Source organism: Homo sapiens, chromosome 1 (genome assembly GCF_000001405.40).
Source record: "Homo sapiens chromosome 1, GRCh38.p14 Primary Assembly".
Taxonomy (NCBI): Eukaryota; Metazoa; Chordata; class Mammalia; order Primates; family Hominidae; genus Homo; species Homo sapiens.
This window is the reverse complement of record NC_000001.11, coordinates 241,658,586-241,674,861: the sequence shown is the minus strand read 5'-3', so window position 1 is coordinate 241,674,861 and position 16,276 is coordinate 241,658,586. Positions and strand designations below refer to the sequence as shown.

General features: G+C 38.4%; 1 protein-coding gene and 1 long non-coding RNA gene across 7 annotated transcripts in view; one reads left to right on the top strand and one right to left on the bottom strand.

The window, feature by feature from the left end:
* Positions 1 to 14,238, top strand: part of LOC124904603 (uncharacterized) — an 81,624-nt gene extending 67,386 nt beyond the window's left edge. The window contains exon 3 of the long non-coding RNA XR_007067055.1: positions 14,156 to 14,238. This is a non-coding gene — a long non-coding RNA (uncharacterized LOC124904603). The remainder of the gene's footprint in view (positions 1 to 14,155) is intronic.
* Positions 1 to 16,276, bottom strand: part of WDR64 (WD repeat domain 64) — a 150,497-nt gene that overhangs the window by 127,916 nt on the left and 6,305 nt on the right. For 4 of the 6 annotated variants that reach the window (NM_001367482.1, XM_011544087.3, XM_011544091.2 and 1 more), the window contains exons 2-4: positions 14,202 to 14,332; positions 3,686 to 3,788; positions 115 to 218 (exon numbers count right to left, since the gene is read on the bottom strand). In NM_001367482.1, the coding sequence (NP_001354411.1) occupies positions 115 to 218; positions 3,686 to 3,788; positions 14,202 to 14,332 (338 nt within the window). Of the gene's footprint in view, positions 1 to 114; positions 219 to 3,685; positions 3,789 to 10,763; positions 10,909 to 14,201; positions 14,333 to 16,276 lie in introns of those variants that run through there. The other 2 variants (XM_017000315.2, XM_011544086.4) reach the window with 2 other exon arrangements.

Genomic DNA, 16,276 nt, shown 5'->3' with positions numbered 1-16,276 from the left:
GAGGAAGGAAAGAAGGAAGGAAGGGAGGGAGGGAGGGGGGGAGAAATCCAAGCTTTTAAATTACCTGGTTATTGTAAAATGAGTCATTCAGTTAAAAAAAGAAAAAGAAATTACCTGGTTATTAAAAACTGTTATTAATCCTTTCTGAGTAGCTGTTATTAGTAAATCCAGGTGAGGTATCTTGACAATGCTCTTAATCACATCTCGTCTTCTACTACCTGTCAACAGCATAATATTCATTTCAACTTTCAGCAGTAAAGGTGCTGAAACTCATTTGTTAGATTTGTTTTTTTAAAAAATGATATGGCCAGGGCACAAGTGGCTCACTCCTGTAATCCCAGAATTTTGAGAGGCTAAGGAAGGTGGATTGCTCAAGTCCAGGAGTTCAAGACCAGCCTGGGCAGCATGACAAAGTCCATCTCTACCAAAAACACAAAATTAGCTGAATGTGATGGGTCATGCCTATAGTCCCAGTTCCTCGGGAGGCTGAGGTGGGAGGATCTCTGGAGCCAGGAGGTTGAGGTGCAGTGAGTTGTGATTGCACCACTGCACTCCAGCCTGGGTGACAGAGCGAGACCCTGTCTCAAAAAAAAAAAAAAAGAAAAGAAAAAAAAAGATAAACAGCCAGCTTTTTTGCTAGAAAGCCCCAAGTTACTTAAAAATTAAAGTAGAATAAAACCTAAAACCCGGCAACCATTGTGTTTTAATGATCCTCAGAGATACTAATTTGCATATATAGAGCTTTCTAACTAAATGTGGTACATTAATTCCCAGAGAAAAGGCAAGACACACACCCACCCACCCCCTACACACACACGTGCATGTGCATATTTCACAGAGAACACGTTTTCTAAACATCGTTTGGAGTCATTTCTTTTTTGAGATATTTCACATCTTTTAGGACTCCTTTCTTTGAATTCTCACCATTGTGGTTTACGCATGATAAAAACTTAATACCATCTCAGGCTTTTCAATATAAAAGAATGAAACTAGGACTGTCATTAAGACTTAAAAAAATGTGCATTTTGAAAAAAAAAGACTAGCTAGACACTTTTATGTTTCTATGGCCATGCACTGAATGATAAAGCCATATATATAGAATTTCTTCCAGGGCACTTAATTTTTATAATTGCAAACTCTTAGGAAAGAAAGGCAAGTGAACAGGTGTCATACCCTAGTATTACCACCCTCATCCGTGTATCTCAACAGAGAAGATATTGCCCCCCAAAGGGGTACAAATTAGTTCTTGGAGGGAACATGAATCCATTTTACTCTTTTTGTGCAGAAAGCACAGATACGCATGTAGTATATAATTGGATACACTTAGTAATTAATACCTGAGGCATTAAAATGGCATGGAGCAGGATAAGGCAGAGGGGAAGGCAATTAGGAACAGAAAGTCTAAAAAGGCTCCTTAGGGTTCAGTAATTTAAAAAAAAAGATGGAGAAACACTGCCCTATTGCAAGCCACCATCATTCTCTCTGCTTCCACCCCTTCCACACTACAGACTATTTTTTTTTAAATTTTATTACTATACTTTAAGTTTTAGGGTACATGTGCACAATGTGCAGGTTTGTTACGTATGTATACATGTGCCATGTTGGTGTGCTGCACCCATTAACTCGTCATTTAGCATTAGGTGTATCTCCTAATGCTATCCCTCCCCCCACCCCACAACAGTCCCTGGTGTGTGATGTTCCCCTTCCTGTGTCCATGTGTCCTCATTGTTCAGTTCCCACCTATGAGTGAGAACATGCGGTGTTTGGTTTTTTGTCCTTGCGATAGTTTGCTGAGAATGATGGTTTCCAGCTTCATCCACGTCCCTACAAAGGACATGAACTAGTACAGACTATTTTAAATGCAGAAGCTGGAAAAGAATATAAAGGATAACTCAGGTGACTCCCTCCTCTATCCACAGCCCCCTTGTAGCTTTGTGCCTCATTCAGAAGTCTTCAGCATGTCATACAAGTCCCAGTACACCTGTCCCCACTCCCATCGTTGCTTCTCCAACCTTAGCTCCCACCACTCTCCCCACTACCTGAAATGCATGGTTTGCTCTCTCACTTTCTACAGATCTTTTTCACCTTCCCAGTGGGGACTTCCCTGACCACCCCATCAACCACCATGCTCCCATCCTCAAACCACCTTCTCCTTCCCACATTCCTGCTTTATTTTCCCCACAACCTGCTTTTTGTCCTATAGTGTGTATTACCATCTGACATACTGTATATTTTACTTGTTTAATTTTTGCTATTGTCTGCCTCTCCCTATTGGAATGTAAACTCCATGAGGTCAGGGATTTGTGTCTGTTTGTTCACCGCTCTGTCTCTAGCATTTAGAAAGGTGTCTGGCCTACATAGTAGACTTTAGCAAATATTTGTTGAGTGATAAATGAATTACAGAATGCAACTGCCATCTAGAAAAATACTTGCAAAGCCCTAACATAGACTGCCAGCCACACTTCTCCCCTGCTCTGGGGCCCCTCCTTAGCTCAGTGTGGTGGCAGCAGGGACAGCCCTTTTGTGTCTGTGTGTGTGTGTGTGTTTTCTTTTTCTTTTTCTTTTTTTTTCTAGTTCCCATGGCCAGAAGCCAGGCTCTGTTGAGGTCAGTGGTTGGACTAAGAAAGAGTCAAGGATGAAGGTGGGTTTGGCTCACAAAGCCTTCCAGGTGCTTTGTTTGTTTGTTTGTTTGAGACAGAGTCTCTGTCACCCAGGCTGGAGTGCAGTGGTGGCATCTAAGCTCACTGCAATCTCCACCTCTGGAGTTCAAGTGATTCTTCTGCCTCAGCCTCCCGAGTAGCTGGGACTACAGGTGCACACCACCATGGCTGGCTAATTTTTGTATTTTTAGTAGAGACAGGGTTTCATTATGTTGGCCAGGCTGGTCTCGAACTCCTGACCTCAGGTGATCCATCCCCCCTTGACCTCCTCAAAGTGCCAGGATTACAGGCATGACCCACTGTGCCCAGACTCCCGGTACTTTTTTAAGAGACATCACATTTGACCTTCATCTCAGAATATGAGAGGAAATGCTGGAAGACAGGAGTAGGTTTGAAAGTTTGTCTTCCCTCTTCCTGACCTCCTCCCACCATGGAGGGAAGAAGGAGAAGAAACCCCAAGGTGTTAAGAGTGGAGAGGGATGGGAGGTCCTGGGTCCCAGGCTCAAAGTTGAAAATGAAGAACACATACATTAGAGACTTCCCAGACTGGGACAGTGCCCATCCATGACTGGCCCAAGCTCTCAAGAGATGTCAGGTTAAACATCTTTAAGATAATCCCGGGTAGATGAGAGTGAATAGAAGAGTCATGTTTAGTGAAAACTCAAAAAGTTAATTTTAAGAATAGTTTAAAAGAAACATGACTTCTTTTACTGGAGCATGCATTATTGTGACATCATTGCAGAGAGGTTTAACTGGAAGTCTGAGCCTTTTCAGGAAAATGTGAATTTTCTTCCATCACATTCTCTATTTAGTGTCCTTCAAAGAAATTATAATATTTCCATTTCAACAGTAGTAGAGTTTCTTCTGATACTGCATATGAAACTCTCACCACCCCCGACACCTAGTGATAAAGTATTGAACAAATACATAAAATGAAAAGTGATTCTATGGAAAATATAGTTCCAGTATTCTTGAGGAAAATATTAAAACTCATACTAATTTGGAAGAGAAAATTAAAATGTCACCTGAAATTAAAATTCGCCTTTTTCTAGACACAAAGAAAACCAAATTTTCTTCATCCAACTGGGAAGCAATAGGATCTTCTTCAGAGGAGAAGTATCCAAAGATCTGAAATCCCAAACAGCACATATAAATATGCAGCATGCCTCAGAATTAGCTATAAAGTAGCAGATCTCATGTTGGCTGAATTTAAAGCTAGTTAGGATTAACAGCCAGCACCCTGCTTTGTGAATGTCAGGGGGTTCCCTATACCAGGAGACAGTTTAATACAGCAGTCCCCAACCTTCTTGACACCAGGCACCAGTTTCATGGAAGACACTTTTTCCACGGACCAGGGCAGGGGATGCTTTCGGGATGAAACTCTTCCACCTCAGATCATCAGGCACTAGATTCTCATAAGGAGCATGCAATCTAGATCCCTTGCATACACAGTTCACAACAGGGCTGACGCTTCTGTGAGGATCTAGTGCCACTGCTGATCTGAGAGGAGGCGGAGCTCAGGCAGTGATGCTCTCTCCCCCACTGATCACCTCCTGCTGTGCGGCCCAGTTCCTAACAGTCCATGGACTGGTGGGGTTGAGGACCCCTGGTTTAATATATTCAACAAACTGTATACTGATAATGCATGATTTTTGAGCGGTTACTGATTTTTCTTTTCAATAGAACTGACACTCAGACTGATAGATCTATTCGGAGCTGGCACTTACTTGGAAATCAAATCAGTCCTCATCATGCAGGGCCCCAGCTAAGAACTTTGACACTGACTTTGGCCACTCTCAAATGACTGTCTTACCCATTTTCCATGAATTTTTCAGGGCTAGATTTTTTTTTTCTTTATCCCTGTTGGGGGAGTTTTTATGCCTGTTGGTGGGAACTTAAGAGTTGCTTTAAGTGTTCCAAATCCTACTCTGTAGGCATTGCGTGAGAATAAATTACCATGAAAAAAAAATTGTGAGGAAGAAAAGAGTTCTTATTTGTGAATAAACTGTCGAATTATATAACTCTGAAAAATGAAGAAAATAAGATAGCTGTTCTTTGTCTTATTAACCAACAGAAATAAAATTCTTATAAATTAATGAGCGAACTTAAAAATAATTATGTATTTAAATTTTGAAATTAATAAAATGCTTATAAAAGTTATATAATTAGTATATCAGTATTTCTCATAAAGTTGAATGCACGAAATGAACTGAGGAATCCTTTTGAAATTTCACTGTGCATACTAGCCACCCGGATATCTTGTTAAAATGCAGATTTGGCTTCAGTAGGTCTGGAGTGGGTCTGAGAATCTGCATTTCTAACAAGCTTTTCATGAGAGACTACTTTGAGTTTAAAGGAACTAGTGACTAAATGACTGAACTGGAAATAAATCAAAACCAGCAATGTGCCATTTTGTTTTAATAATATTGATTTAGATGCTAGATGATGGCTTAACATTATATTAATATTTTAATATATGTCCTGTCATCAGTTGCTTCACAAATGTTACTACTTCTTCATGTACATTCCCCCACATTCAAACCTCCCAACATACAATTGCCCTAATTATTCCCCACAGTTAGATTCCCTTCTGTGGGAAAATCAGGCTCATCGAGACTTGCTTGTATTTTCCCTTTTTCCCACCAGCAAAATTAGCACTCAATAAAAGCTTATTATCTTCTCAGAAATCATTGCTCATTTTTTATGGGTACAAAACCCTCTAGGTTTAATATCTAATTCCCTCTGAAGGACTGAGAAAAGAAAAGGAAAATTAATAGATCTATGTTGGAGTGGACAGGAAGGTTTTGTTACTGCAATCTTTGTCATCATTAATTTATGCATTATTCAGTTAACAATTATGTATCAATCTGTACCTCAGCCCTATATCATTCGAACCCACAATACCGCTTCATGGCAAAGAGCATGTGCTGTGGAGTCAGGTGGTCCAGGGTCAGGGTTCAGACTGTACAATGAATTGATAGTCATTACTTGGAAAAATACCTTCACCTTCTGAAGTCTTAACTTCCTCATCAGTAGAATAAAAGAACAAACCTTTGAATTTTGTTTTCGTTTTGTTTTGTTGAGGTTTAAATGACATAATGGATGGCATCAGGTCATGTCAAAATGAGCATTTTGCAGTGTGCCCGGCATATAGTAATCGTTTTAAAACATTAGCTATTGTTATCGTTGGAAAGCCTACATTGAGAAGGCCTCATGGGAGAGAAAAATAAATGATATGTTAATCCAGACCACAGCCTCTAATGAGAACAGTAGGCTGTCTTTAAGGGTATTTTTTTTTTTTTTTGACGGAGTCTTGCCCTGTCACCCAGGCTGGAGTGCAGTGGTGTGATCTCGACTCACTGCAACCTCCGCCTCCTGTGTTCAAGCAATTCTCCTGCCCGAGTAGCTGGAACCATAGGCCTGTGCCATCATGCCTGGCTAATTTTTGTATTTTTAGTAGAGATGGAGTTTCACCATATTGGCCATGCTGGTCTTGACCTCCTGACCCTGTGATCTGCCCACCTCAGCCTCCCAAAGTGCTGGGATTACAGGTGTGAGCCACCACACCTGGCCAAGGGTAGTATTTTAAAACCATCAGTCCACTAAAGGATGAGACTGTTTTTTTCTAAGATTAGTCAGGTGGGCACTTCGGTAAATTGATAGTGTATGAAACTTTGCTGGGAAAGTTATATGACTCCTACAGACAATCAGACCCTGAGAGGGAAATTCCTTCCTAACCTGTCATTTCCCTGTGGTTAGTGCTTCCTTTCTCACCCAGTTTAGAATTGGTGGTCTGTCACCTCAATCATATATTTCCACAATCCTGCCACCACACCCAGCTAATTTTTGTATTTTTAGTAGAGATGAGGTTTCACCCTATTGGCCAGGCTGGTCTCGAACTCCTGACCTCGTGATCCGCCCCCCTCGGCCTCCCAAAGTGCTGGGATTACAGGCGTGAGCTGCCGCGCCCAGCTCAAAGGGTGTCTTCTTTTACTTTCCCCAGAATCTTCAACATCTTTCTTTCTACTGACTTTTCCTTTCAGCATTCAGACAAGTACAGATCTCTCCCATCTTAAAAACAAAAATACAAAAACACCTTCCGAAGTCAATTACAGATAATACAGTAAACCTGCGTCCTATTTTTGCTTTTGTCTTCTCTAGCTTCCTTCTCCAAGTGCTGCACCTCCTTACATTGCTGTTGAGTTTGAATTCCTCTTCTAGCTACATTTTGTTTTCTGTTGGTTGTAACAACAGACATACGTTTATTGAACTTTGACACTTTTCCTCTATGAATTAGTTTTCTATTGCTGCTGAAACAAATTACAACAGTAGCAATTTAAAACAACAATGGTTTCCACTTATTGGCTGTCAGTTCAGTAGGTTTGAAGTCCAGTATGGCTCTCATTTTCCTAATATGAAGGTGTCAGTAGAGATGCATTCTTTGCTGGAGACTTTCAGGAAAGAATCTACTTCCAAGCTCATTGGGATTGTTGGTCTGAAGGCCTGTTCTGAGCTGGCTGTCAGCTTGTACTGCCCTTAGCTCCTAGAGGTCTCTATCTAGTCCTAGTACATGGGCCCTCCTATGTCTCAGCAACAGCAATGGAACTTCAAGTCCCCCATCATGCTTGGAATCTCTTCTTTCTTCCTCTTCTGTTTCTAAGGACTCATATGAGGAGTTTGAACCCACCTAGATAATCCAGGATAATTTTCTTATATTAAGGTTAACTGATTAGTACCTTAATTCCATCTCCAAAGCTCCTTCCCAGCAGTGTCTATGTTCATGTTTGATGGAATAACCAGGGGACAGGAATCTTGGGGAAGACGGGCACCTTCAGAATTCCGCCAGTCACACCCTCATTTTATAAACACAACTTGGTACAATTTAAAGGACTTACGCAAAGTAGACAATTGATAAACATTGGCAGCAAATTTAACCTCAGAGAATAGTGTGAAATAATAATTTTCAGAGAATGTGTAATGATAATGGTGATGATGATTCTTTGTTTCTACATTAATGAATTCCAATGTTTATCAGAGATGGGAGAACTCCACACCATACATGCTATCATCTAATTTGAAATTATGTCTCCTACGTCAATGATACCCATACTCAAAGAGCAATTTACAGACAGTCGTTTAACTTTATTTTAATTTTTGTGGGGATAGTGCCAAGGCATCAGGTGTCTAAGAACAGATGTGAAGAAATTCAGGAGCAATGTCCTATGCAAGGAAGTATTCAGTGCTTCAGGAATTGGTCATGGGTCCAAATCTTGGTTCTACTGTCTACTAGTCACATGACCTCAAGCAAGATCCTTAGTTTCTCTGTACTTGAGTCTTTCCCGTGTGTAAAATAAGGATAATCAGTAATAATCCCCATGTTATGCTCTGTTGTAAGGATTAACTGAGGAAGTGCATGATTAGATTGCTTAGTAATGAGAAAGATTAGCAAGTACTTAGATTGCACCAAGTCCCCAGTAGGAGCTCAATCAATGTCAACATTTCAGTAACTGTAATTCCTGATTTTTCCAGAGACAGTACAGGAAACAGAATTCAAGTATCTTCCTCGCTAATTTAAAACTGTGCACTAAGCATTTTTGTTACTTACCCAAACAACACATCAGCTATGCATTTTAGCATGCATATATTTGATAACCACATCTACATGTAGGTAGATGGCAGACTGTGGACATATGCTCTTACGACAATAATAAATTTTGTTACTTTCACTTGTAAATAACACACTATTACAATGCTTACCAAAAAATAACTTCCAAAGGATACGAAAAATATCAAATTACTTGAATTTATTGAGAAAAATTTGGGTATTATACCAGATAAACTCCTTCAGAAGCAACAGTGAAAGTTTTGCATTTTGAAAGGAAATGTCTCAAGCAAATAATGCTGTTAAAGAGCAGCAAATACCCGTTTCTCCTGTGATGAGCCATAGCCTCTACGATCTCAAATTTCTCTTTCGACCTTTTCAGTTTCAGTGTAGTAATGTTGCCTGTGACAAGATTTGAGTATTTTATCACTTATATATATATTATGACTATTAGAGTGTTAATTTTATTTTAACTATGCTATTTAAAAGTCTTGCTCCATGCTTTAAGTGATTCATTTTTAACTTCATTTTTATCTGATTATATAAGGAACATATGTTCATTGTAGAACATATGGAGAAAATAAAAAAGCCAATAGAAGAAAATAAAAACCTGCATGCAGCTTATTTTTTAACCTATCCTGGAACATTCTTTTAACATTTTTGAAGTTAGCAAATATAATTTTAGATTTATAATAATACACTTTAAATTCACTTTTGGGAGGGAACATAATTATAGGCATTCCATATGGTGTGGTATGCCTCTTCTTTGGATTAATTTGTAGTGTGCTCCTAAAAAAATGTGTTTATAAGTTGCCCACTGGAAACCCAGACTAACATGACATTGTAAGAAAAGTAGACTGTGTCTGCACCAGACTTTTCCATTAACTAGCTTTATAAACTTAAGGCAGTCATATTTCTTTTGATCTCTTTACATTAAATTTTTTTCATTATAAATTGAAGGAGCAGGTCTAGATAATGTTTAGGTGAGTTATAAGATTTCATTATTCTATGAATTTCAAATTCTCCGAGTGTCTTTGCATCAAAAAATCTTGAAAAAGAAGGTGAAACTTTTGTGGCATTGCTACCACAAAGAGATTTATATTTGGAACAAGATTGGTATGTCTGTGCCTGAGTTTAAAAGAATAAATCGTGTTTTTATTACCTGATAAGATTAATATCAACTGATTAAGAAAACACTAGGTAATCCATACTGAAATGAAGTTAGTCTCCTCGAATTGAATTTCCATTTTACAGATGATGGATCTGAAGCCCAGAAAGTTTAGCTCACATGGCTTGAAATAGAAATGCCCCTTAGGAGCACTGACACAAATAATTTGTGAGAAAAATGACAGGACAATAAAAGAAGAACATTCCTGCCCCATTTTTTTTTAAATCTCAAGTCATTCTTTATATACATACAGTGTGCCAGAAGCTGGCCATGAGTTTTTCTATTAAACTTGCATACGATTTATAGGAACCCAAGTGATGTAACAGAATAATGTCATATGTTTTGTTTTTTTAAAGTCTTCTTCTTCTCTCTCCTTCTCCTTCTCCTTCTTCTTCTTCATAGAGACAGGGTCTTACCATGTTGCCCAGCCTGGTCTCAAACTCCTGGGCTCAAGCAATCCTCCTGCCTTGGCCTCTCAAAGTGCTGGGATTATAGGCATTAGACACCGCACCTGGCCCCAGGATAATGTCACATGAACTTACTACATAAAGAGGGAGAAAAATCTCAGTCCCAAGACCAAAACAGACTTTCTGTCCAGCTTTAGATAAGTCAATTAACCTTTTTGTGATTTTTCTCATCTTTATCATTTCAATAATGTATCCTCCATAATCTACATTGCGTGGCTATTGTGAAGATTAAATGAGAACCTGAAAAGAACGTGCTTGAATAAAAGAAGACATTTTACAAATGAAGGAAGATTATGATGTTCTAGCTAGAAAGGGAAAGAGGAGCAGATGTCAGAGACAATGAGGCTTGATTTCCTCATCTGTAAAACAAACAAAAAAAAATCTGATTTACTTTAGTATTTCATTCAGAGACCAAATTCTCAGTTACTGTAGAATTCCATGTAAATGGATTTATCACAGAGTGCTTTGTCTCATTTGTTGGCATTTATGGGCTATCTTTAGAGCGTTGCTTTTCTGAATCTAAGTGTGTAATAAAATATGAACAGACTTTTCTAATTTCCAAATGTTCATAATTTTTTTATATTGACGTGAAACATTGGTTAGACACACATTTTCATATTTTAAGTGGCCCAAAATGATTGCATTAGAAATTCATGCATATAAACCACTGAGTGTTTGAGAAATATTCATAAGAAAATAGAGAACAGTGAGAAAACCTGATTCTCAAAATCACATCTATCCCAAGTTTAATGACATTGCATTCAAGTTACCGATCTATGGGGGAATATCCGCAGGGTTTACAAAGTGTGATAGAGATTAGATCCTGGAACAAAAAACAAAACAATGCATTCATGTTGTACACTTACACAATTTAGGAAAAAAACAATCATTTCTGTGTGGCTGCAGAGTAGCTGACTGTTTCACCCTTCATTTGATTTCTCAAAAATCTTTGGGTGGCTAAGAGCTCTTGTTAAATACATTTATGTCTTCTACTTTATTGAATCAGTATATCTAGAAAAAAAAACAAAAACAAAAAGCAACAAAAAAAATAGCTATGATTCCATCTGCAGTGTTGCTTTTAGGCCCAGGCCAAGGGGCCTATGTCTTCAGAGTGGTGCTGTCCAGTTGAACTTTCTGCAATGATGGACATATTCTGTAATCTGTCCTGTATAATACAATAGCCCCTAGCCACATGTGAACATCAAGCACTTGAAATGTAACTAGTGCAACTGTGGAGCTGAATTTCTAATTTAATTTAAATGTAAATAGCACATGTGGCTAGTGGCCACTTTGTCGGACAGCACAGCTTTGGAAGGCCCCACTCTAGTTTTTTCTGTGGAAGCTAATGGGCCATCGTCTACCAGGGGTCCATAACAATGCTTTTAAACTATGCCCTAGATTCTTCGAACCCCAGAATTCTCTCCCCAAAGGGGCCAAGTCTACTTTCAGGCCTGTGAAGCCTCTTATCCACCATATGAGGGTGGGTTGCACACCACTGGTGTGTACACCTCTAGTTCTGAGGGGGTGGCCAAGGGATAGTGTTTGTGGAGGTGAAGGTATGGAAGAGCTTAGACATGTGGGCCGGGGTGCCCATATGTGAGCACATGGCCCCTCATGATGTAAGATGGAGCCAGTAATGGCAAAAGAAGGGACGGGGGTCAGGGCCAGCTCTCCCCTTGTCTTCACATTTCCGTGTGAAACAGCAAGGAGCCTGAGATTAAACTTTAAGTCAATTCGGGAACAGTTGGTATCTTTACAAACTAAGCCTCTCAATTATTATTCTGCTGTCTTTTTTCAATAGAGTTATCCCATGATACTTTCTCCTATTTGTTGCTTTTGTGAGTGGAATCTTTTTATTTCCTAGTTAGTTTTGGTGAGAGAGAGGGGTGGTTATTGCTGGTGTTCATGGAAATTATTGATTCTTCCATGTATCTTTTATGAACTCTTTTGAACCCTCTCAGTTCTAATAGTTTGCCATATAATTCTATTGGATATTCTTGGTAGAATATCCACAAATAATGAGAATTTTGTATTTTTAAATAATTGATTACATATCAATTCCATTTCTTGCCCTTTTCCCTTCTGTTTGCATTGCTTACAACCTCCAATAAAGTGTCGAAGATTAGTGGTGAATAGGCATCCTTTTCTCGTTCTTGATTTTAATGGGGTTGTGTCCAGTATTTCAGCAATAAATATGATCCTTGCTCAAATATGTTTCTGGTAAGTCTCTATGGTGGACCTATTCTAAAATGTCCTCCTCTTCCCTCCCAGACACACAAGTCACACTTTTGTATAATCTCTATCCCTTAAATATGGTGGAAACTGTGACTTACTTCTAACTAAGAGAATATGACAAATATGATGAGCTGTTTCTCCCATGATTATGTTACATTATATAAAATTTCCTCTTATCAGACTATGGAGGGAAAAATTCTCCTGCTGGCCTTGAAAATGCAAAGTTGTGAACTGCCAGTATAGAGGGCCACACGGTGGGGGCTGCAGGCAGCTTCTAGGACAAGAGGGACGCTTGCAGCCTCCAGTCAACAAGAAGCTGAGGCCTTGAGACTTACAACGGCAAGGCATTGAATTCTGCCAACAACCTGAATGAGCTTAGGAGCAGATTCTTCCCTAGCAGAGCTTCCAAATGAGAACCCAGCTTTGCCAACACCTTGATTGCAGCTTTATGATACCCCGAGCAGAGGGACCCAGTGAAGCTGTCCCAGACTCCTGATCCATGCAAACTATGATATATATTTCTTCTCATTGCTAAATTTATGATAATTTAGTACAGTAGCAGTAGAATCCTAATGCAGTCAGTTTCCTTTCTCAAATTAATGGAATTTTCTATTATTTCTATTCCGCTAGATTGTTTTTCTTTTTAAAGCAAGGATGGCTATTGAATTCTTATTAGACATCTTTTTTTACTTTTAATTTTACTTTAAGGTTGGAAGTCTGCAAACATTTTTCGAAAAGGGCTAGGTAGTAAATATTTTAGGCCTGCAGGCCATTCAGCCTCTATCAAAACTATGTAATTCTCCTATTGTAGCACAGAAGCAACCGTGGCCAGTTTGTGAATGAGTGAGCATTGCTGTGTTCCAGTAAACTTTATTCACAACAAAGGTGGCTGTCTATCCAGATTTGGCCCATAGGCCTTAGTTTGCTGACCTTGGATTGACATTAGCATATTATTTTTTCTCCCCTGACTTGTTAAATGAAGTACGTTTCTGGCTTTTCTAATATTGAACCACCTTTACTTTGCTGGGGTAAATTGTACTTGAATCCTGCACTGCAGGATTCAACTTGTTAACATTTTATTTAGGAGTTTAGAATTTATATTTATGAGTAAAATTGTCTTATAGTTCCCTGACATTTTGTCTATGTTCAATTCAGTGTTATTTTAGCTTCATAAAGTGAGCTGGATAGCTTTTCAGCTTTTCCTACATTATAGAAACATGCATACAACATGGGAATTAAATATTCCTCAAAGACTTTGTAGAAACTTTTTTCATTTGCAATTTTTTCCTAAAATTAATTAATTTGTTTTTTATTTGGGTGATGTGGGGGATTTGGCTATCTTTTATTTTAGGCTTCTAATTTATTATATCATAATTTATTAATATTTTCTTTTTAGCCTAATGTGGTCAATTTTGAGATGGCTCCATATATATTTGAGAGAGATGTATTTTTCCTGTGTCTTAGGTTTAAATTCTCCTTATACATATCCATCGGCTTATAAAATGTGGTATTCAAATCCCTTAGATTCTTACTTTTTCTTTTGTCTACTATTTCTATTTTTTTTTTAAAGAACCAGATAATTTATAAAAATTATTTAATTTCTCTGTATGGATATGTGTAATTTTTTTAAGAATAAATACCATGGTGATCAGAAAACAACTCAGGGAATATAACAGGTAGTCAATTGTAGCCTCTTCTCTTATATTAATAATTTGGATGCACTGAAAATTTGTGTACATTGAACCCATTGAAAAGAAATATCTCATATAAAGTGAAATGACGACCATTAAAATCTTGGTTGTTGTTAGAGGCATGTATAGCTCTTCCTACTGGCAGCTTGGTCTGAAAGGATTTAAGAGTTGTTTATTAATAATACAGCTAAATAGTTACCTACTTTACCCACTTTCATTTGTGGGCAGTGGCCATGTCCTAATGGGTGTAGGTATTGAAACTGACACATGCACGTTGTGGTTCAACCCCTGTGGCAGTAACACTTTGTTTTAATTATTTATTCCAAACTTAGAAAAATAATACCTGGATTTCATATTATGAACATGAAATGAGTCTACCTCACACCAGTCTGCAGATGCATCCGTGTTGTTGCACAGTTTCCTGTAAAAGCGTTTCACATCTTGATTCTTCACATCTGGACCAAAGAGCTTCTGTACCGATGCATAAAACTTGTCATAACCAATTGCATCTGCATTGAAAAAAGTACAGTCCATTTTCATCAAATTCCAAGGACTACCTTTTGTATTTCAGCTACATTTTTTATTTCCTCACCTTGTATTTTCTTTTCTCAATCTATAAAAACCAGATATATTTGCATTTTAAAGACCTTGTCTTTGCACAATCCTAAGCAAAAAGAACAAAGCTGGAGGCATCACACTACCTGACTTCAAACTATACTATAAGGCTGGAGTAACCCAAAGCATGGTACTGGTAGAAGAACACACACTCAGACCAATGGAACAGAATAGAGAACCCAAAAATAAGACTGCACACCTACAACGATCTGATTTTCTACAAACCTGACAAAAACAAGCAATGGGGAAAGGATTCCCTATTTAACAAATGGTGCTGGGAGGAGAGGACTGGATAGCCACGTGTAGGAAATTGAAACTGGACCCCTTCCTTATACCATTTACAAAAATCAACTCAGGATGGATTAAAGACTTAAATGTAAAACCCAAAACTATAAAAACTCTAGAAGAAAATCTAGGCAATTCCATTCAGGACAGAGTCACAGACAAAGATTTCATGATGAAGATACCAAAAGCAATTGCAACAAAAGCAAAAATTGACAAATGGGATCTAATTAAACTTAAGAGCTTCTGCACAGCAAAAGAAACTATCATCGGAGTGAACAGACAACCTACAGAAGGGAGAAAATTTTTGCAATCTATCCATCTGACAAAGGTCTAATATCCAGCATCTACAAGGAACTTAAGCAAATTTACAAGAAAAAAATGAACAACCTCATTAAAAGTGGGCAAAGGACATGAACGAACACTTCTCAGAGAAGACATTCATGTGGCCAACAAATATATGAAAAAAAGCTCATCATCACTGGTCATTACACAAATGCAAATCAAAATCACAATGAGATAATATCTTATACCAGTCAGAATGGCTACTATTGAAAAGTCAAAATACAACAGATGCTGGCGAGGTTGGGGAGAAAAAGGAAGGCTTTTACACTGTTGATGGAAGTGTAAATTAGTTCAACGATTGTGGAAGACAGTGTGGTGATTCCTCAAAGACCTAGAGGCAGAAATACCATTTGACCCAGCAATCCCATTACTGAGTATATACCCAAAGGAATAAAAATCATTCTATTATAAAGATACATGCATGCATATGCTCATTGCAGCACTGTTCCCAATAGCAAAGATATGGAATCAATACAAATGCCCATCAATGATAGACTGGATAAAGAAAATGTGGTATATATACACCATGGAATACTATGCAGCCATAAAAAGGAATGAGATCATGTCCTTTGCAGGGACATGCGTGGATCTGGAGGCCATTATCTTTAGCAAACTAACGCAGGAACAGAAAACCAAATACCACATGTTCTCACTTGTATGTAGGAGCTGAATGATGAGAACACAAGGACACATGGTGGCTAAAAACACCCAGTGGGGCCTGTCATAGGGTTGTGGGGGTGTGGAGGGAGAGCATGAGGAAGAATAGCTAATGGATATTGGGCTTGATACCTGGTGATGGGATGATCTGTGCAGCAAACTACCATGGCACATGTTTACCTATGTAACAGACCTGCACATCCTGCACACGTACCCCTGAACTTAAAAAAAAAAAAAAGATCTTGTGTTTACAAACATAATCAGTCCTTTGGCTAAAATATTACTAAATAAGAAGAAAATATTTTACTGTGGTGTTTGATACATTCTCTGTGGTTTCTGTTTAAGATATTTTAGGAGTTTTGTTCAGGAATGCAAAAATTCAAGAATGAATTGCCTTTTTCCTGTTGTAAAAAGTTTCACCATTGGAGTCTTTGGTAGAATTCATCTTGAGCGGAAGGTGGAAGTGAGCAAACAGCAATTCTTTTTTTTTTTTTTTTTTTTGAGACAGGATCTTGCTCTGTCACTCAGGCTGGAGTGCAGTGGCACAATCATGA